Source organism: Homo sapiens, chromosome 5 (genome assembly GCF_000001405.40).
Source record: "Homo sapiens chromosome 5, GRCh38.p14 Primary Assembly".
NCBI classification, from domain to species: domain Eukaryota; kingdom Metazoa; phylum Chordata; class Mammalia; order Primates; family Hominidae; genus Homo; species Homo sapiens.
The window spans coordinates 96,170,570-96,194,301 of record NC_000005.10 but is presented as its reverse complement, the minus strand read 5'-3'; the positions used below and the strand labels follow the sequence as shown (position 1 = coordinate 96,194,301).

General features: G+C 37.9%; 1 protein-coding gene and 1 long non-coding RNA gene across 14 annotated transcripts in view; both read right to left on the bottom strand.

Annotated features, from left to right (window-relative positions):
• CAST (calpastatin) overlaps nt 1–23,732 on the bottom strand; it is an 813,255-nt gene that overhangs the window by 580,382 nt on the left and 209,141 nt on the right. The gene's annotated exons all lie outside the window — the stretch shown is intronic.
• LOC101929710 (uncharacterized) overlaps nt 1–23,732 on the bottom strand; it is a 669,085-nt gene that overhangs the window by 436,784 nt on the left and 208,569 nt on the right. The gene's annotated exons all lie outside the window — the stretch shown is intronic.

Sequence of the window (23,732 nt, the reverse complement as noted above, 5' to 3'; positions counted from 1 at the left end):
TATCTGCATTTTTAAAAGCTCCTCAAATGATTCCAATGATTATGCAGGTTTGGAAAGTACTTTCCTGATGTGCATTTACTCAGTGTGTCTCTTCTATGTATGTATAACTTAATATCATCAGGGAACAGGGTTCAAAGAGCAGGAGTCTAGTCAGGTGTATTCAAGCAGCCAGGGAGATCTCGATCTGTAAATGTTTAGCATGCTTTCTTTTAGGTATGGTCATATCTGCAATTCTTATCCTCTGCTCCTCTTTTAGTCTTTCTCTTCTCAGGCCAGGTGTCCTCTGCTTTAGGCTTAGCTATGATTGGTCAACCTGCTCAACTCTACTTTTCCTCCTTCTTCCTAAAAAATTAATGAATCCAATACATTAATGCCAAAACCCTTGGGTTTTATCAATATTTCTGTTAAAAAGTATTATCCAGAACTGGACATAATACTACATAATAATACATAACAACCCCTTCATCTGGATGCAAACATCTATTAATATAGCTTAAGATCACTTTCACTTTTACAGAAGCAACATCCTGCTGATGTTATTTTGATGTTTGGACCAATCCAAACGATCTAGCTTCACCTGAATTCCAACAACCAGATCTCCTTCTTCCAATCCCACTGTTACTTAAAAATACAACTTTGAGTTATACATTTATTCAAGTTATACAACCCCAAGTTACAAATTATATCAGATTGATTTTAGTATCTTTTTGAGAAATCATAGTCATTTTGAATTTTGCCATACAACACATTGAATCTCTTTTCCAGAGAGTATCTTCTGTAATGGGTCATATGTAAACTTGATAAATACAACATCAATGCTGCCATTCAAATAATTGATAATGTATTTTTCAACAGGTTAAAAGGATTATTTCCTAAAGTTTTCCCTCCCAGTATCTTGTTCATCCAGCTATGAAATCACCTACCTATATTCTCATCTGTATCATATTTAAATCTCTACAGTTCCCAGCAGGACATAATACAAATGGTCACAATAAATATCGCATGATATCATAGTAAATATACATTAGTTTACATTAAAAGATAATATGAAGCATTTTTTTCAAATACATCATTAAAACATACTTCACTGCATCTGTAACATTCCACAGACCTCTAAGAATGCTATCAGAAACAAAAAAAAGGAGAAAGGAATACTGGTAGTTTGACATATGCTTAAACTATATTGACAATAAAAATTTTTCCATAAGCTCTTAAATTTTCTGATTAAACGCATGTATTAATTTTTATTTACTGGAAATCAACATTAAGATTACTAGTTAGTAATTTTCATAATCTACTATCTACCTCCTATAAGAGTTACAATAGGCTACAATGTACTATGTTAATAACCCTAAAAATCTCAGTGGCTTACGACAAACATGTATTTCTCATTGTGATTTATACCCATTGTGCCGCTCTAATTGATGTCACATTCATTCCAGACCCCAGGCTGAAGAAGCAGCCCCTATCTGGAATATGCCACTGGTCTTGTGGCAGAGAAAGAAGAAAGATGGCAGAAACACAGTGGTTCTTAAGGGTTTTGTTTGGAAGTAGCTCTTGCTTGGAATGTCACTCCTCACGTTCCACTGGCCCCAGCAAGACACATGGCCAAGTCTGACGTTGATGGGGTAGGAAGTATAATCATCCCATAAAAAGAGGCCCCACTGAAAGGTGCCTGCAGAAAAAAGTAGCAAATATTTTAAGCACTTAATGCAACCTATCACATCCTTCCTTTTGAAAACTGGGGTCATATGTACCTTTCTCCATTCTTTTGAATTTTTCCCATTCTATAAAATTTCTCAAAAGGATATGACAGTTCTATGTTCATCCCAATGAGATCGTTTATTCCTAAAATGTGATTTGTCTGGGCCTAGAAGTTTGAATTCATCTAAAATATTAAAGTTATTGTTAATCTTCTCTTATCATGCCTGTAAAGACATCTTAATGCATTAATCTTTCCATGTTGTCAGCTTAACAATCATTATTCTTGGTATAGACAGAGGAAAAGCAGAAGTGCAATGTTTTCTTTTAACATGATACCATCATTCTCAAGCATTGGACCTATAATTTTCATCTATCTATTGTTCTGAAAATAGCTATAAAAATTGCTGCTGCTGTCTCTAGTGGTTTTTGTGAGCCTCAGCTAATCCTTGACTTTAACTCTCCTGAAATTCTCATTCTATTCCCTTATATCCTCCTTAGTTATATGTTTTCTCATCTATAATTTACGTAAAGGCCCTCCAGCCTTATTAGACAACTTGGAGCACAAATATGCTGGGTTCTTTACCCACTTTCCCATTTTTTGTTCCATTGAAAATATTTTTAATTATGTAGTCAGAATTTCGTAATTCAGCCATTCTTGTCACCGTGAAATTATATTTGTTTTTTGACTCTTCTTAAAATATCTTTATTTTTTAAAAAAATTCCATCAGCTGGCTGGGCCCAGTGGCACACGCCTGTAATCCCAGCACTTTGGGAGGCCGAGGTGGGCACATCCTGAGGTCAAGAGATTGAGACCATCCTGGCCAACATGGTGAAACCCCATCTCTACTAAAAATACAAAAATTAGCTGGGTGTGGTGGCGTGCGCCTGCAGTCCCAGCTACTCGGGAGACTGAGGGAGAAGAGTCGCTTGAACCTGGGAGGCAGAGGTTGCAGTGAGCCTGGTGACAGAGCGAGACTCCATCTCAGCTATTATTTGATACTCCATCTTTATTATATCCTCACAGTTTATTTGCTAGTGACATAATTATGGGAAGCAATGTAGCAGAGAGGCTAAAAGCTTAGTCTCTGGAGATGAAATTTGAATCTTGGCTATTTTACTTATGAGTCATTTAACCTTTCAGGCAAGTCTCTTATCTTTTTACTCAACTGTAAAATGGGGACAATTATTAGTACTTTCCTTTTACTGTTATTGTTAGGACTGAATGAATTAATATATGTAAAGTACTTAGAACAATGCCTGGCATATAAGTAACCTCAAGTGTCTGTTAATATTGGGACATATAGTCAAAAGTGCCTCAGGCCATGGTAGTTTTTCTGCTTATGCTGAGATACAGAAGGTACTATTTCTTACAGTCTTGTAGAATCCCATTCCTCTTTTCCAAGAATAATTTCCTTTAGCACATGCTAAAATACTCAGCAAACTGGAAGCCAGCATCCCACAGCACAAATATGGGAAAGGAGTTCTAGTTCAAGATGGTAAGCTCCATGGACTACTGTGCAGCCATATAAAAAGAATGAAATCATATCCTTTGAAACAACATGGTTGCAGCTGGAGGCCATTATCCTAAGCGAATTAATACAGGAACAGAAAACCAAATACCCCATACTGTCATTTATAAGTGGGAGCTCAATATTAGGTACTCATTGACATGAAGATGGCAACAATAGACACTGGGGACTACTAGAGGAGAGAGGAAGGAAGGGACAAGGGTTGAAAAACTAGCAGATACCATGCTCAGTACCTGGGTGACAGGATCATCCATCCGTACCCAAACCTCAGCATCATGCAATATACTTAAGTAATAAACCTGCACATGTAAATCCTGAATTTAAAAAAAGGTTGAAATTAAAAATTAAGGATGAAAATAATAAACCTATGAAGGATTACACTGCCAAAAATAAATTTTAAAAGATGGTGAGCTGAGGACACAGGTTGCCGCAAAAAGACAATAAAGAAATTCAAAGGGGAATGAGGCCTTAACAGCAAAAAGAAGAGAGATGAATCAACAAATACCAAGGAATAGAACACAGATAGAATCCTGCGGACATGTGAAATGGAGTATGGGAGGCTGCAGCAGAGACAGCAGAAGGGGCCACAGCAAAGATGGCGCCTAATTCCCCAGTGGGAACTCTGTGGAAGGTTCTTGGCACAGAGTGGGCAGGCAGAGTCAGGGAGAGTGAAGACAGGGTGTCACTCAATGTCCTTCATTAAAGAACCTACACTTTCTGATCTCCCTTCCCCACTCACACACACTGAACATACCCCAGGACTTCTGATGCAGAATAAAAGGAAGCCCAGCATTCACTTTGCAGGATAAAACCAGCGCAGGCACCTAAAGATACTGAATGAGCTGCCTGAAAAAAGTACAGGCTACTAGAGACAGGCCTAGTTCCCCAGCCCCACCCTGGCTGCCCCTCAATCCCCCAGTGCAAATTCTGCATACTAAGCCCTTCCTGCATACAAAGAATCTTCAATTCAGGGCAGAGCAAGCTGGAGAAAGAAACTACCTATCAAGCAGCCAAGAAAAATAATACCCCCAACTTGGAATAATCAATCTAAACATTTATTCTAAAATAAGAACTGATAAGCAAGGACTACCAGACATACGAGGAATACCAATAGCATTAAAGAGAAAGATCAAGATAAAAACAAGAGCAGTTGACCCAGGATAATATAGTAAACATGCAAGAATAGGAGAAAACTTAAACTAAACAATTCGAATTTGACTCCTTGTGAGTTTTTAAATAATGTTAAAAACAAAAACATGAATCTATAAAAATGTGATAGAGAACAATAAAAACTAGCTGTTAAAAGTTTTTTCCAATGCAAAAATCAAAAATTTATAAAAAAGCAGTAAAATAAAAAGTGTCTCAGAACATGGAAAGGAAACACAAAAAGATGAAACAGATGACAGAGAAGATAAGAATCATAAAGTATCAATCCACAAAGTTCAATGCTCAACCAATAGGGGTCCCAGAAAGCAAACAGAGAAAATAGAGGAAAGTAAATTACTTTTTTGCAAAAAGGAAGAAAATATCTCAAAGCTGAAGGAAGACATAAGCTATCAAACTGAAAAGGCCACTGAATATTTGCTCAGCAGGATGAATTTAAAGGAACTGATATTTAGACATATATTGAGGAATAAAGACAAGAGGGCACTGGAGCAATATCATCAGTGCTCTGAGGGGAAAGTTTTTGAACCAGGAAGTATATCCCCAGCCAAATAGCAATCAAATCTGAGGACAAGCAAAATAATTTTCAGGAACAAAGAAAAAGGACCATTATCCACCTAGCCCTCCCCCTCACCAAATCCTCTCTGATGAAATTACTTGCAAACATACTTCAACAAAGCAAAGGCGAAAACCAAGAAAGATGAAGATGCGGGATATAGGAAACAGTGGAAAAATCCAAAAAGAAAATAAAAAGAAATCCCAGGGTAATGGTTCATAGCAGACATAGAAGCAACATCCAAATTAAAATAGAAAATCAGCAGGCTATGAGAAGATTGTTGATAAAATATACTGAGTCTTTAACTGAGAAAATGAGCACAAATCTGAAACATTTCAGTGATAGAGTGAAGAAGCTATGTTTCTTCTCTCAACCAGAAAAAGAAATGGAAATTAAAATTTAGTGTACAAAAACATAAGTTCTAAATATGAAGCAATAAAAATGTGATACACCTTTTAAAAAGTGTAATAAAAGACAATTTATTTGACTTTGATGATAAACACACTATTTATCAGTGTTATAACATTAAAACCATGAAAAGAAAGTATAATCTAGCACCTTCTTCAACTCCACAGTACTCAATACTTATACAGTTCTGAAGGTAAAAAACAAATTTCATTGGCTTTAAAAATCAATTATAGAAAATTTAATAACATTTTCAGAATAAAATGTAAAATGTGAAAGAAAAGGTATAGCTGATGGATATTAAAGGGGGGAGGGAAAGACACAGGTTTTATTATTACCATCTTACATGGTATTCACTCAACAGATATATCTAAAGTTGAGGAAACAAGAAATGGGATAGACAATTATCACAGACATAGAAAAAGTTACAACCAAAAACAAAGAAAAACTAAAATTAATAACATAATATCAAACATTGGGAGAAAGAATGGGAAAAAAGTTGAGTAGTGTTTCAATAGGTTAAATCCACAACATTTAGAGAAGAAAATCATCACTCATATTTAAAGTGGACTAATCAAGAAATAATAATATAACTTATTACCAAATTTATGGAAAGATCCATTGGAAAAAATTAAAAATGATTTTAACTCAGGAGAATGAGATTTGCAAAAAGGGCAGAAAACAGTATATTTTACTACTAAATATTTTTATAGATAATCTTTCTATAATCTTCCTATAAACTAATCTTTCTATAGATGGTTTTGTATTTAGTGTCTCAATCTCTCTTCAGGTTAGCATCATTTTGTGTAATAAAAAGGCTTAGACCTATATAGACAGCAAGTAATGAATGATGAAATGAAATAATAGGACCCATATCCAGGTTCTGTGGGAGAATGTGGCAGTCCCAGGTGGGTGAGTGGCTCACTGAGTGGGCTGACCAAAGGTGATGCCATCCCTTGGGTAACTACAAAGGCATGTGAAGTCCCCTCCCAGAATCCTAGGCAAATATTTGTTTTCAGCTTAACTAAGCTGCTAAGATTCCCACAGCTCAGTAGAGATGGGACTGCTCACAGGTAGTCATTCTACCATCACCACAGTCAGTCAAGAAAGCTCTATCCTTGCACTGGGAGTTGAAGAGCTAAAACATAACATTTACGTAGCTGTTTTTAAGCTCGGTAGCCTCGACTATTGAACTATTTACTTCAACAAAAATTTCTGAGTGCCCACTTTGTGCAAGGCACTAGGGGAAATACAAAGATAAACAAGTCACAGTCCTTCTCTCAGGGAGCTTACAAACCATTGAGCAAGAGAGAGTTGTTCCTGCTACTGAATGACTCTTGGGTAAACAATGAAATTAAGATAGAAAACAAGAAGTTCTTTGAAACTAATGAGACCAAAGAGACAATGTACCAGAATCCCTGCGACACAGCTAAAGCAGTGTTAAGAAGAAAATTTATAGCACTAAATGCCCACATCAAAAAGCTAGAAAGATCTCAAGTTAACAACCTAACATCACAACTAGAAGAACTAGAGAACCGAGAGAAAACAAACCCTGAAGCTATAGAAGATAAGAAATAACCAAGATCAGAGCTGAACTGAAGGAGACAGAGACATGAAAAACCCTTCAAAAATCAACAAATCAGGAGCTGTTTTTTTTAAAAAAATTAATAGAATAGACTTCTAGCTAGACTAATAAAGAAGAAAAGAGAGAAGAATCAAATAAACACAACCAAAAATGATACGGGGGATATCACCACTGATCCCACAGAAATACAAACAACTATTAGAGAATACTATAAGCACCTCTATGCACACAAATTAGAAAATCTAGAAGAAATGAATAAACTCCTGGACACATACAGCCTCCCAAGACTGAAACAGGAAGAAACTGAATCCCTGAACTGACCAATAACGAGTTCTGAAATTGAGGCAGTAATAAATATCCTACCAACAAAACGAAGCCCAGGACCAGAAGGATTCACAGCTGAATTCTACCGGATGTACAAATAAGAGCTAGTACCATTTCTACTGATACTATTCCAAATAATTGAAAAGGAGGGACTCCTCCCTAACTCATTCTGTAAAGCCAGCACCATCCTAATACCAAAACGTGGCAGAGATACAACAAAAAAAGAAAGCTTCAGGCGAATATCCTTGATGAACATCAATGCAAAAATCGTCAACGAATACTGGCAAACCAAACGTACCAGCACATCAAAAAGCTTATCAACCATGATCAAGTAGGCTTCATCCTCAGGATGCAAGATTGGTTCAAAATAAACACAAATCAATAAATGTGACTCATCATATAAACAGAACTGAAGTCAAAAACCACATAATTATCTCAATAGATGCAGAAAAAGCTTTTGATAAAATTCAACATCTCTTCATGTTAAAAACTCTCAATAAACTAGGTATTGAAGGAACACACATCAAAATAATAAGAGTCATATACGACAAACCCACAGCCAATATCATACTGAATGTGCAAAAACTGGAAGCATTCCCCTTGAAAACTGGCACAAGACAAGGATGCCCTGTCTCACCACTCCTACCCAATGTAGTATTGGAAGTTCTGGCCAGGGCAATCAGACAGAAGAAAGAAATGAAGGGTATTCAAACAGGAAGGGAGGAAGTCAAATTATCTTTGTTTGCAGATGACATGATCCTATATCTAGAAAACCCCATTGTCTCAGCCCAAAAGCTTCTTAAGCTGATAAGCAACTTCAAAATCTCAGAATATAAAATCAATGTGCAAAAATCACTAACATTCCTATACACCAACAACAGACAAGCAGAAAGCCAAATCATGAATGAATTCCCATTCACAATTGCTACAAAAAGAATAAAATATCTATGAATACAGCTAACATGGGAAGTGAAGGACCTTTTAAAGGATAACTATAAACCACTGCACAAAGAAATCAGACAGGACACAATCAAATGAAGAAACATTTCATGCTCATGAATAGGAGGAATCAATATGTTGAAAATGGCCATACTGCTTCAAGTAATTTATATATTCAATTCAATTCCCTTTAAACTACCATTAGCATTCTTCACAGAACTACAAAAAAAAAAATTTAAAATTCATATGGAACCAAAAAAGAGCCCAAATAGCCAAGACAACCCTAAGCAAAAAGAACAAATCTGGAGGAATCATGCTACCCAACTTCAAACTATACTACAAGGGTGCAGTAACCAAAACAGCATGGCACTGGTACAAGAACAGACACATAGACCAATTGATCAGAATAGAGAACTCAGAAATAAGACCACACACCTACAACCATGTGATGTTTAACAAACTTGACAAAAACATGCAATGGAGAAAGGACTCCCTATTTAATAAATGGTGCTAAGAGTGCTGGCTAGCCATATGCAGAAAATTGAAACTGGACCCCTTCCTTATGCCATATACAAAAATTAACTCAAGATGACTTAAAGACTTCAATGTAAAACCCAAAACTACAAAAACCCTTGAAGAAAATCTAGGCAATATCATTCAGGACATAGGCATGGGCAAAGATTTCATAACGAAAACAGCAAAAGCAATTGCAACAAAAGCAAAAATTGACAAATGGGATACAAATCAACTAAAGAGCTTCTGCACAGCAAAATAAACTATCATGAAAGTGAACAGACAACCTACAGAATAAGACAAAATTTTTACAATGTATTCATCTGACGAAGGTCTAATATCCAGAGTCTACAAGGAACTTAAACAAATTTACAAGAAAAAAACAAACAACTCCATTAAAAAGTGGGCAAAGGACATGAACAGAAACTTCTCAAAAGAAGACATACACGTGGCCAATAATAATATGGAAAAAGCTCAACATCACTGATAGAGAAATACAAATCAAAACCACAATGAGATACTATCTCATGCCAGTCAGAATGGCGATTATTAAAAAGTCAAAAAACAGATGTTGGTGAGGTTGTGGAGAAAAAGGAATGCAGTTATGCTGTTGGTGGAAGTGTAAATTAATTCAGCTATTGTGGAAGACAGTGTGGTGATTCCTCAAAAACCTAGAGGCAGAAATACCATTTGACCTAGCAATCACATTACTGGGTATATATCCAAAAGAATATATATCATTCTGTTATAAAGATACATGCATGCATATGTTTACTGCAGCACTATTCACAATAGCAAAGGCATGGAATCAACCTAAATGTCCATTAATGATAGAATGGATAAAGAAAATGTGGTACATATACACCATGGAATACTATGCAGCCATAAAAAAGAATAAGATCATGTCCTTTGCAGAGACATGGATGGATTTGGAAGCCATTACCCTCAGCAAACTAACACAGGAAGAGAAAACCAAACACCACACATTCTCACTTATAAGTAGGAGCTGAATGATGAGAACACATGGACACATGGGCAGGAACAACACACACTGGGGCCTGTTGGGGTGGTGTCAGGGAGAGTGTCAGGAAGAACAGCTAATGCATGCTGGGCTTCATACCTAGGTGATGGGATGATCTGTGCAGCAAACCACCGTGGCACGAACTTACCTATATAACAAAATAGCACATCCTGCATATGTACCCTTGAACTTAAAATCAAAGTTGAAGAAAAAAGAAAAGAGAGTTGTATGTAGTTTATTTTAGTGCCAGACTGAATAAGTGAACTGGAGCATAAAGAAGTAAGAGAGTGCTTCCAACTTAGGAAGATATCAGGAAAGACTAAATAAGGAGGTGTCAAAAATGAGTTGGGATCCTGGGTCTTGAGTCAACAGGATGTCTGCAGTGCTGTGATGCAGTTGTGATTTGGGACTTAATCTGAGAGCATCATTGTCTGGGCTGTACCTATCCTGGCCAAAGACAATGTCAGTATGTATAATTTGGGATGGTCCTGAATTTCTGTGATTAAATGCTACCCTCATTCTAAATGCCTCACTTACCTATACATATGCATTTTTCTTTGGAAAATATGAATCAGTAAAGTATAAATCTAGCAGTGGACAGAAGTCTATATGATATTGTGGTATAAGCAACCAGAACTAATTCATAACTCCAGCTAAATCCAAAATTCTGGGTTGTTTATGTTTTTAATAGCATATTTCAACATAATGTTCATGTCCATGTGCCTACATTCCACCCTCAAATCTAGAAGATTAAAGAACAAGGGAATGTTAAAATTGGAAGGGACTTTGACAATTATTCAATATGTCCCATTGTATCATTTTACAGATGAAGAAACAAGGCCAAAAGAGGGTAAATGCGACTCCCCAAAATTACACTACCACAAAGAGCAAACTCTGAACTTAAACCAAGTTTTTGAATGCAAGTCCCGAAGCTCTTTCTTCTGGATAATACTATGCCGAAATAAATATGTGGAAAAAAAAATCAAAGATAATAAAAAAGAAGTAATGCTTCATAATAAATTGTTATTGGTAATAGATCTAGAATTACCAGTGTTTCTGAAAAAAATTCCAAATAGCTTTTAAGGGATCTCTTTTTCTTAAGATCTTTTCTACTTGGACAAAATATATTGGCTCCCAAAATACAACATATTTCTTTTCAAACTATTTTAATTATGACATTATTTAAACTTTTAAATAACATTTTTAATAATTTTTTAATCTGTCAGATAAAGTAGCCAGGAAACTGGTAAATAGCAAATTACATACCAATGTATAATTTTTGCTTCATCAAAGCAAACATAGGAAATGTTTTTAAAATATGTACTATCTTGCTTTTTCTTAACATTGCACATTCAGAAACATTGTATTATTATTATTATTATTATTATTATTATTATTATTTTATTTATTTTTTTTCTTTTGAGACAGAGTCTTGTTCTGTCACCCAGGCTGGAGTGCAGTGGCGCGCGATCTCGGCTCACTGCAAGCTCCGCCTCCCGGGTTCACGCCATTCTCCTGCCTCAGCCTCCCGAGGAGCTGGGACTACAGGCGCCTGCCACCACGCCCGGCTAATTATTTTGTAATTTTAGTAGAGACGGAGTTTCACTGTGTTAGCCAGGATGGTCTCGATCTCCTGACCTCGAGATCCGCCCGCCTCGGCCTCCCAAAGTGGTGGGATTACAGGCGTAAGCCACCATGCCCGGCCAGAAACCTTGTATTATTAAAGTAGACTGTATTATAAACAGTGCTGCAACAAACACCCGCAAAAAGTAAAAAATAAAAAAATTAGAAATGGAAGAAAAGTAGACTGTTGTGTTTGCTTAGGAGTTCTTCAGCATCTATCACAGTATCTGGCTTATAGAATATACCCAATACATATTTGTTGAATAAATAAATGAATTAATACTATATTGTAATGGAATTCTGCATCAATCTTTGTATGTCACACATTATATCTGATATTTATATGGTAAGTCTGACATATAATACCATCATTTGGATGGATACAAACTTTTACCTACACTTGATTTAAAATCAATTCATCTTTCCCCAAAGTAGACTCCACGATTAAAGGTGTTTCTTTACACCCACCTCGCACTGTAATTAAATCCTAGCTGATAGCAAAAACCTGTTCAGAGAAGAATACTTCTTTTCCTTCTTGCTTTACTCCAACTCATAGGAGGGTTCCAAAGGGGAAACTCATGCCTTACTCCAGGCCCAAATTCCAAGCCCAAGTAAGGACTTCTCCACCAGCCAAGGATCTCAAGTTCAAATCACCAAATGCCTTCCCAACAATGCCCCACAGACATCAAACGGGTTAACTAGCAGACACCCCAGGAATTCTGGAAGCAACTTCTAACCCAGAGGGCTATTTGCAGGGACCTAAAACATGGAGTACATATCAGGAAGAGAAAAGAGACAGAAACTTATAAAGTATTTCAAGATAAATATTAAGACCCTCACTGAAGAAGTTAAAGATACATACTAAATATGAAAGACATTTTTAAATCATGAGTATTTTATTTGACTGTTACGCAGAAGAATTTAACATAGCTCTTATTGTCCTTATCCATTTTATAGAAATGAGAAAAATGCTGTTTTGAAAACTGGTGCCACTGAGGCTTTCCAGTTGATTAAAAAGTAATAAATGGAACCACTACTTCTAATCTTCCTCGGTATGTTTATATAACAAAATTGATGTTATAATAACCTCTAACTCATCTATTTTAATGTCTGCATATTTATGCATCTAACTAGAAATAAAATATTACAAGTTTGGCCATTTTTTTCAGTTATTTGTATATAAAGTACACTTAAAGTATAAAATGGTATTTCCCCTAGTTCCCCTAATGAAGAAATAACCATAAACCAAATATTGTGAAAAATGAAAATTAAAACACAGAAGCAAAAGTTAAGAAGCTGTGTTCTTCCTAAATCTGTTTCTACCCCTGAGTTACTGTGATGCTCCATTTATCTGCACCTCGGTTGTCTCCTTCTGAGAAGCAAAGACCTGAGTCACAGCTACGCAATGGAGAGAAAAAATGGCCAACAGTGGTTTGCAAATTTTGCTAACCTGTTTGGAAGGTTAACTGTGGCTCTCCAAGACCATTTGATGCTCCGTGTCCCAAGTCTAACTCAGAAAGTGACAGCAGCCCCAGGAAGGATGCAGAACATGAGGCAAAGGTCAAAGATGCTGTGCTTTGATGCACAGAATCTGGAATCTCCCCAGGATTTGACCACACCCCGGGAAGGAAGATTGCAGTGACTCCTGAGGGAGAAAAATCCTGATATATAAATTTTGTACTTTTCTAACAAAATTGAATCAGGAACTAAAAGTAATCTGGAAAATTTTAGTCCAAATGAAGAGCTGAAGTCATTCTATCAGGGAATGGAGAAATAACAACGTGCTCATTTTATAAATGTAAGCATGTTTCCTGTTGTGAATATTCTGAGACATCCCATGACTTCCTTTCTGATAGCCAGAAGAAAAAATATCTGCCATAAAATGGTTTAAAAAATAAGAAAAAGGAAAAGAAAAGTACTCAATAATAGCTCTGTATGGAGATCTATATATTAGCATGTAGGATTATCTTAAATAAATTGATCATTTTGTTTGGGGATTTGGTTCTAGATGCAGTTTAAACTTTCACAACACTCTGGAGGATGAATTACACCTTGCTGAGCCTTCCAGCAGATCAGGGAAGTGTATTTGCTCACTGAGTTGCTCCAAGCTTGGTTTGCTTGTTCTTGCATCCACTGTTTACATGAAGAAATCACAGCTAGACAATTTCCCTCAACTACAGTAATTAAATATTTCCATTGAGCTACTGACCTATTTTACTTGAAATTGTGAATATGCCTTACTTTATTTTTAAAAAGTATTTACCACCCTAATTTTAATCATTTTTCTAAACATTTTTCCATGTGTCTTTCCCTTTCTGTTCTTATTTTTCAAATTTCCCCTTTTCTCGTTTTAACATTTTATTTCTTTGTCCATTTTCTAAGCAGTTAAAATGAAAATGTTTTCATATGATTGTTGTGGAAAACAAGGGACTGAGAATGTGAAGGACCATTTGGTTCTCAGCTGATGTTCTCAAAGTTAAACTTTCATAGTACCTCACGAGGAGGCTCTACATATGGTCCCAGAGATATGCTTACAATATTTTAAGAAGACATTTATCTCACAACTTTAAGCTTGTTTCACACTTTCTGATCACACCTCCCCTGGTGTACTATGAACAAATATTCTTATGTAAATCCTATAATTTCCCATAAATAACAAAATTAAAATGCATTGTAACTTTTCTGTCAAAGGGGCTAATTTGTTAAATGTAAGTGTATAAGATTATCACACATGGTATAATCCTGCTTGGACATTTCATCATTCGTAACTATACTGAGAGCCTCAGGAAGCCTCTCTGACCTTTGAGAAAAGCTGGCCTCAGATTACAACAAATGTGCAACTCCTGAACATGTCTCATGCCACAGATGTCTGTATCTCACCTTTTACGCTCTAGCAGTTCTTTTTTTTTTCTTTTTGAGATGGAGTCTCGCTCTGTCTCCCAGGCTGCAATCTCAGCTCACTGCAAGCTCCACCTCCCGGGTTCCTGCCATTCTCCTGCCTCAGCCTCTGGAGTAGCTGGGACTATGGCACCCGCCACCACGCCTGGCTAATTTTTTTGTATTTTTAGTAGAGATGAGGTTCCACCGTGTTAGCCAGGATGGTCTCGATCTCCTGACCTCGTGATCCACCCGCCTCGGCCTCCCAAAGTGCTGGGATTACAGGTGTGAGCCACCGCGCCCGGCCTACACTCTACCAGTTCTAAACCGTGTAACGTTCTCTCAACGTGACAAGTGCTCTCGTGCTCCTGCACATGCTCCCTCTGCCTTAAATACCCCTCTCTGCTTTGTCCTATTCCTCCCTCAAGTGTGAGTCAGCACAACTCCGCCTTCTCTGTGTCACTTTGTCTGATTAATCCCCATATTCATTCATCTACAATGTGCCAGGCACTATGCTAGCTGCTGAGTTGGAAACAATGAAAACCCTGCACTTGCCCTCAAGATACATGATGTATTAGCACAGTGGTCAAAACAAGGGACACTGGGAACCTTTTGTGATGAGGGTCAGGAAGAGGTTTGGGGAAGTCTTCCAGGAGGAGGTAATAGCTGAATCAAAATGTGAAAGATAAGTAGGAATTATCCAGGAGAAGAAAGGACAGAGAGAGGGCATTCAAGACAAAACCTGTGATGAAGCAAGGGTAGGACAGGGAATATTCATTGAGAGGTAAATATTCCATTTAAGGGAGTTTTGATTTTATTTTTTTCCTGAACGCAATGGAGAGCCTTTTAAGTAAAAGAATGAGATGGTCATATGTGTGTTTTAGACAGTGTAGATAGAGATCAGATTGGAGAGACCAAGGATGGGGCAGTTAGCAGGCTTATTTGTAAAGGAGAGGACATATATGTATTTAGTATGAGAAGAAGATGAAATTTGAGAACTTGAGAGAGATAAATGAGTTATAATTGACAGGTCTTCGTGACTGATTGGTGTACAAGGGCAAAAGAGAGTCAAGAGGGAACCCCTAAGTTTCTCTCTCTTCTTGCTGGGATGGAAGATGGGGCTTCATTGAGATCAGGAACACAGAAGGAGGAGCAAGAAGTAATCAGTTGAGTTTGAACCTGTTGAATGAGGCCCGTATAAATAGGCCTGTAAAATGTCCAAGTTGAGAGATAAGTGCTCTCTCATCTATGCACCCATTACTCCATCATATTATCCCATGTACCATGCTGGGATTGTCTATCTCCACCTCTGATTTTCCCCAGGAAGGGCTCTCCAAGATAAAAACCTCCCCTTCAGATTGTCTTCAACCAGCCAGTGCTCCCCCATAACAAACAAGGCTCTCCCACTTTTCCTCTTTCTCTCAAAGGCCACCATTAGAGCAGTGCTAACTCACTGAGAAATATCCTGCAAAGACTAGAGCCCATCACCCCTTCTAGAGAAAGCAAAACATGGAACAAAGAAGGAAAGGCTTCTTTTTTTTTCTTCTATTCTATTAGCCCCCTCATTTTCAAAGGCACCATTGTTTCAGGAGAACTGAGTATTTTTTAAAATAAATAAAGAAGTGAATACAATCTTAAGATTCCAACTTATTAACAGAAAACATGTGTAGACCTAAGAATTAAAAATAAATATGTCTTTAAAGATGACCTGGAAGGCTTTTTGTCTGCCAAGAACAGAGTTAAAGACCTCAGAAGGTCTATGTTTTCCCAGAAATACTAGATTACATTGCTAATGATGGGCAAAGGCATTAAATCATGCAGATTCCCCTGCAATTTTATTACTATTTAGGTGAGTTTTATAATGTCCTGAAATAATGGAAGAAATCTTGAGACTGATCTTGGGTTGTGGTTGTGGATATTGAATCTATGGTTTCATCTTTTGGACAAATGTTTCCAGTTCCTACTTTTATGTCCAGATATGTATATTTGAGATGAGTTCTTCTCATGTTTGAATTATATTTTAGTGATCTTGGTTGTGTTGGTATACAAAATATGAATTCATTTTTAGAGCATTTTCCATCAGATATATTTTATGTCAATTGAGTATTTCTAGCGAAGAGTACAGTTCTTCCTTCAATGTTCTTATTTGTTCAAAATTACAGGAAGATTTCTGAAAGTTGTTAAGAATCAACAGGGGAATCACTAGCTGCAAAACGTCTCCAAACGGACCAGAGTGAGTTGCAGAACCAGAAGCAGCTCGGCTTGCTAAGGAGAAATTGATGTTGTCCTCAGCACTCATTGACTTGTCTGGTTTTCACATGACAAATAAACAGATGAATCAGTTCCTCCTTTTTCTAAGAGATTTTACATGCTTAAGGTCAGAAATTAACCAAAGAAAAACCGGTTTTATAAGTATGAGCTGACTAGATGCCACAGTGATTCATTTCAAAGGTGCTGGCTATTTTCAAACTGCTGAGAGACCTTGCCATTCCCTGAACTTGGGAGGCTTGTTCTAGCACATGCACATATTCAGCTTGCTATATGAGCAAAAGTGAGATCATACGGGTTGATCCTGGCAGAGTCTCTGAAAATGCAGTAATTCATGCTGTCAGTTACTATCAGCAGCAATTTGCTTCTGGATTGGTTCCTGTAAGCACTCATGTGAGCATTCTGCACAAAGGACCAGAGTACAATATTCTCTTGGATTTCAGGGACTTAGTGTGGTTTCAACATATAATCAAAAGTGCCACATAGTTCACCACCTCGCATTTTGTTTTAAAGAGACAGAGGCTTAAAACTGGATTCCTTTCTTTTTTTCCCAAAATAGGAAGTTGGTGGTAATTTGGAATGTATCTTTAGAGCAATCTGTTAGCACTTCAGCAAAATCTACTCCGTTGGTAAAGTGCAGAGTAGATTTTTTAATGAGGGATAATTTCACCATCTCTAAAATTAATAATAATAATCATAATAATAAATTTGCTCAATCACAAAACTAAACTTCTTAGATTCAACTCACATGTGTGACCAACTCTTACTTTAGGGCAAATGCATTAAGACATGAAAAGTTATTTGAATTCTTAAGTATTATAATAGCATATACTCCCAGTTTGGTACAATTTCCAAAAAGTTCTATGACAGAGAAATTTAGATGATGCAGTCCTAAGCTTAAAGGCACATTATTAAAGAATCTCTGCAAAACAATGTAATTCCATTGAGCTCCAAATTATTTAAGAAAGCAGTAGCAGCCTCACTACCAATTTACTGCTCTACTAATTTAATTAACACCATTGAGAACTCATGCGATACAGGGTTATGAAAAGGTCCTTATCAGAAGGGGCTCAGGAAGAAAGAAAAGCCAGTCCTTGTGACTGACAAACTTTTAGTTTAGTTTCACTCAGAAAAGTGAAAGTATGCCAAAATCTCAAGTGGCATTGTCAAAAATATACATATTCTTTGGTGTTAACCTGTGACTTCTCAAGTGTTACCAGTTGAAAAATTGCTTCCATATTGCATCAAACTCAAAAATCCTCAAAAACTTGGCATCTTACCTAAGAATTTCTTAGTTTGCTATCTACCTTGCCCCCTAGAATGTAGACAGAATGAAGGTGGGGACTTCTGTCTGTTCACTGATGTATTCCCAGTGCCTAAAACAGTGCATAGCACATAAGGCACTTCATAAAGTTTTGCTGAATTAATGAATAAAAGTTGTCCTTTTCCTCAGCCTAAAATCTTCAGCAAAGCTTATCTGTAATCAGCTCCTGCTCCTTTCTCTAGACTGCCTTCTCTTTTATCACTTTATCTCTTGAACTATACACTTCAGCCAAATGCAAATTATTGGCAGTTCCCCAAATGTACCACATTCTCTCTCTCTCCGAAGGCCTTTGCACATGTTCCTCTGTGTAGAAGACTTTTCTGTCTTGTCCTCCTATTCCCTGGGCCTGGGAAAATTCTCTTTGTCCTTCAGATCACAGTTTAGAAACCTCTTATTTCAGAAAGCCTTACCTAGCCTCCAAAATAGAGCTAGACGAGCCCTTAGCTCCCTGTAATTTCCGCTATGGTAGCACTTACCCACTTGGACTATTATTGCTGCAAGGAAATAACATTACTAGAGGCGGAATGATGTTTGTGAAATTATACATCAGCAGTTGCACTTCAAACAGGACCTCATAAAGGAATTAACTCTGTACTCTTAGTGCTGGAATAGGAATATTTAAGAAAAATAACCAGGATGTATTAGAAAAGCATCACAAAAGTTTGAGCAAACTAACACATATTTAAACATACTGCTCTATCTCACTGAGTGGAAGCATCACTCTAGTCTAACCACTAAAACAAAAACATGCATGGCATCCATGTGAAACACTAACACACATTGTTCCATAGATAGTTGCTTCATGTCATTCAGGTCACAGCAACAACGTCACGCTTTTAGAAAGGACATCACTGACCAACGTTGTGTAAAGTTACCCCAATTAATTTATAGCCCATTGCCCTGTTTACCATCTAAATTACATGTCTATCTCTTTGAGATGCTCTCAATCATTTATGTGTTTACTAGTTTATTTTCAATTCTCCATACTAAATAATAGTTTCTATAACAGCAGGGATCTTGTTTGTCTTATTTAGTTCTTTATACCTCCAGAGCCTAAATGAGTCCTTGGCATTCAGTAGATACTCGATAATTTTTTTTAATGCATGTGAAACAAGGAACCTCAAAATCAAAGTAATTTCCATCTTGGCCAGTAGGGTACTTTCACTGGCACTGGTTGCCCAGAACTGAAAGTCCCTTGTACTTCATGCAAAATTCACATGTACTAACCGGCCAACTGATGAGTTCTGTCCAATGACAAACTATTATAGTGTAGTACACTGACTTCATTTAATTGCATGTACTATTTTATAAGTAGCTTATATTACATTTTCTTAGTATACTATTAGAATACCAATAATAAAAATAAGAAAAATCTATGTCTTCTAAATTTAAAAACTTCAGTTGCTTTTCTTCTGGATTAGTTTAAAAAATCTGAAGTTAAATATGTTTTCATATATATTAGAAAATCTAGTAAAAAGTATTGTATACCTATTACCTTGATAAAAATTATTAATATCAGTTTGCCTAGATAAATCTGAAATGAATACAAAAAGATTGAGGAGGAAAGCTTTTGATTTCATTAAAGATTGAAAAGAAAACCTTTAAATATATTATTTGCTGAAATGTTAGAATACCACACAAATACTATTTTGGGGACCAATCACACAGAGATTGTACATGGTTAGGCCTCATTAATTCTATGGCAACACTACTATAAAAACACATTTTTACTTATTTTGATTGGTTAGAAAAGACATTAACAAGATTACAAATCATGAGCCAGAAGCTAGAAAGAGAGAGTATACAACTGTATCATTTCTAAAAATTCTTAAAACAAAGTAGAACAAAAAAACAGTGCCAATATTAAACTACTAATTCTAACCAAGGAGGGAAACCTATAAAACTAAAATTGTAATCTGTGTCTGCACATTAAACCTTTATCATCCAACTAGTGGTAGACTTGTCATACAGAGGATTCTGACTGGACTTTCCTTCCCCACATAAGCAAGAGGGCGAACTCCTCCTGTCTGCGGAGGAGTGGAAGAATGATTGCAGCGCCCAGCGCAGGACCTTGTTCACAGCTACTCAACAAATATCTGTCTAATGATTGTTTCATGGACTAATTGTGAAAATTGGAGAATATCCTTCATAGCAGTAACTTGAACTAGAAGTGTGGCCCAAGAAGAATCAGAACTGGAATTCCCTTAATGGAAATGGACCAGACAACCAGAAAGAAGGAAACTGGCAAGTTTGGGCAGCCCAAAGAGGCTCCTGGGAATCTCAACATCTCTTTGCACAGCTTCCTCCATGTTGTGCTTGATAGGAGGACCTTCCTCAGATTCTTTATCTTCATGAAATTAAAAGTGAAAACTCTGGGTTCAAGACTCATGTGTCACTTAACAAGTAGATGACTTAAAAAATAAGTTCAGGCCGGGCGCGGTGGCTCACACCTGTAATCCCAGCACTTCGGAAGTCTAAGGCGGGAGGATCACACGGTCAGGTGATCGAGACCATCCTGGCTAACACGGGAAAACCCCGTGTCTACTAAAAATACAAAAAAATTAGCCGGGCGTGGTGGCGGGCGCCACCTAGTCCCACCTAGTCGGGAGGCTGAGGCAGGAGAATGGTGTGAACCCGTGAGGCGGAGCTTGCAGTGAGCCGAGATGGCGCCACTGCATTCCAGCCTGGGCGACAGAGACTCCGTCTCACAAAAAAAAAAGAAAAAAAAAAGTTCATTTATCTGAGATTCAGATTCCTAAGCTAATATAATGATAAAAATAATACCCCAAACATCAAACAGAATGTTTTATGTTCAAAAGAGGAAGTTATAAGAAAACCTCGATATAATGTAAATTACTACCACATGTACCAAATAGTTACCAATCCTTTAGATACTGTCATAACATCTATCTGTTTATTTACATTTTTCAGAATTTCTGGTATTACTACATGAGGGTATTCCAATTGGGTTACTCTATTATGTATTTTGCTCCAAATGTTAAACTTTCAAGTTTCAATTAAGCTCCTTGTAAGTACCATTATTCTGATGACAGTTCTTTGTGTACTTTTTGCAAATTGTTTACATTATATGTCAGAGTACAAAAATATTTGATAGTTATGAGGACTATACCCCGGACTCTTGCAAAGTCTCACAACTGCAAATAATATGATGGCATAGAGTTCCTGCTCCTTTACATGAAACATTATATCCAATTTAACATCTCACTTTTTCTAGTTCCAGTGCAGTAGATCTTAGTTGCTTTTTGTGGTCACCCAGAATATTTTGAACATCTTTCCCATGTTTGGGGAGTCTCAGCCTTTGTAGTCAAGCCGCCACAAAGCAGAAGTTGGAAATTCACCTTCCCAGCCAGTCGGTATCTATGCCAGAGGTAGGATGTAGATCTAACAATAAGAAATACCCATATGCAACATGGACTTGTAAGAGAATACTGTGGCTTCATTACCAGGAACCACCTAACATTTATTTTCTCATGAGCATAGTGGCATATGTGCCCAAAATTTGGGGGCAGCCATGGTAGAAATCTTGGCATCCATTGACCAGACTCAGCAGTGGAAGTTATGGTATCTGTGTCCAGAAATGGTGGGAGTGAGGCTTTTGCTAGAGCAATCAGTAGTGTCATTTAAGCGTTGTTCCTGGAAGCATGGCCTCTAAGCTCAATGTTCTGGCTCTCCTAGAGGATCTATAAACTACATGATATCCTACAATAAATTTATTTTCTGTTTAAACTAACTAGAGAGGGATCTGTTTGCAACTCAGAAAACTGACTCATATATCTAAGAATTATTGTTCTCCCTCTGTCTTTTAATTTATTCTGAAATATTTAAGACATGTACAAAGGCCACTTCCTGGAACCTTTCCACATACCTCCAACACTAGAAGTAGCAGCTGGCCTTCTTTTGCGGAAAGTTATTCACACTTTAGACAAACTGCATATTATTACAATTGCATATTGCCATATACCATGTATATTTGAAATCACTACTGAATAATCTAGAATGTTATATTCAATAATCCCAATGGTCTGGACTGTCAGGCTTCTGAACCCAAGCTAAGCCATCATATCCCCTGTGACCTGCACGTATACATCCAGATGGCTGAAGTAACTGAAGAATCACAAAAGAAGTGAAAATGGCCTGTTCCTGCCTTAACTGATGACATTCCACCACAAAAGAAGTGAAAATGGCCAGTCCCTGCCTTAACTGATGACATTACCTTGTGAAATTCCTTCCCCTGGCTCATCCTGGCTCAAAGGCTCCCCAACTGAGCACCTTGTGATCCCCGCCCCTGCCAGCCAGAGAACAACCCCCTTTGACTGTAATTTTCCTTTACCTACCCAAATCCTATAAAACAGCCCCACCCCATCTCCCTTCACTGACTCTCTTTTGAGACTCAGCCTGCCTGCACCCAGGTGATTAAAAAGCTTTATTGCTCACACAAAGCCTGTTTGGCGGTCTCTTCACACGGATGTGAGTGAAATTTGGTCCCGAAATTTGGTGCCGTGACTCGGATCAGGGGCGTGGGGGGGTGGGGACCTCCCTTGGGAGATCAATCCCCTGTCCTCCTGCTCTTTGCTCCGTGAGAAAGATCTACTTACGACCTCTGGTCCTCAGACCAACCAGCCCAAGGAACATCTCACCAATTTTAAATCGGGTAAGCACCCTCTTTTTATTCTCTTCTCCAACCTCTCTTTCTATCCCTCAACCTCTTTCTCCTTTCAATCTTGGCGCCACACTTCAATCTCTGCCTTCTCTTAATTTCAGTTCCTTCATTTTCTGGTAAAGACAAAGGAGACACATTTTATCCATGGACCCAAAACTCTGGCGCTGGTCACGGACTTGGGAAGACAGTCTTCCCTTGGTGTTTAATTATGCAGGGACACCTGCCTGATTATTCACCCACGTTTCATTGGTGTCTGATCACCGCCGGGACGCCTGCCTTGGTCATTCACCCACATTCCCTTGGTGGCAAGTCAATTGCAGGGACGCCTGCTTTGGCTGCTCCCCACCCCTTCTCTCCATGTCTCTACCCTCTCTTTTCTCTGGGCTTGCCTCCTTCACTATGGGCAACCTTCCACCCTCCATTCCTCCTTCTTCTCCCTTAGCCTGTGTTCTCAAAAACTTAAAACCTCTTCAACTCACACCTGACCTAAAACCTAAATGCCTTATTTTCTTCTGCAACACCGCTTGGCCCCAATACAAACTTGACAATGGCCCTAAATGGCCAGAAAATGGCACTTTCGATTTCTCCATCCTACAAGACCTAAATAATTCTTGTCGTAAAATAGGCAAACGGGCTAAGGTGCCTGACGTCCAGGCATTGTTTTACACATTGGTCCCTCCCTAGTCTCTGTTCCCAATGCAGCTCATCCCAAATCTTGCTTCTTTCCCTCCCACCTGTCCCCTCAGTCCCAACCCCAAGCGTCGCGGAGTCTCCAATCTTCCTTTTCTACGGACCCATCTGACCTCTCCCCTCCTCCCCAGGCTGCTCCTCGCCAGGCCGAGCCAGGTTCCAATTCTTCCTCAGCCTCTGCTCCTCCACCCTATAATCCTTTTATCACCTCTCCTCCTCACACCCAGTCTGGCTTACAGTTTCGTTCCGCAACTAGCCCTCTCCCACCTGCCCAGCAATTTCCTCTTAAAAAGGTGGCTGGAGCTAAAGGTATAGTCAAGGTTAATGCTCCTTTTCCTTTATCCAACCTCTCCCAAATCAGTTAGCGTTTAGGCTCTTTCTCATCAAATATGAAAAACCCAGCCCAGTTCATGGTTCGTTTGGCAGCAACCCTGAGACGCTTTACAGCCCTAGACCCTGAAAGGTCAGAAGGCCGTTTTAGTCTCAATATGCACTTTGTTACCCAATCCGCTCCCGACATTAAATAAAG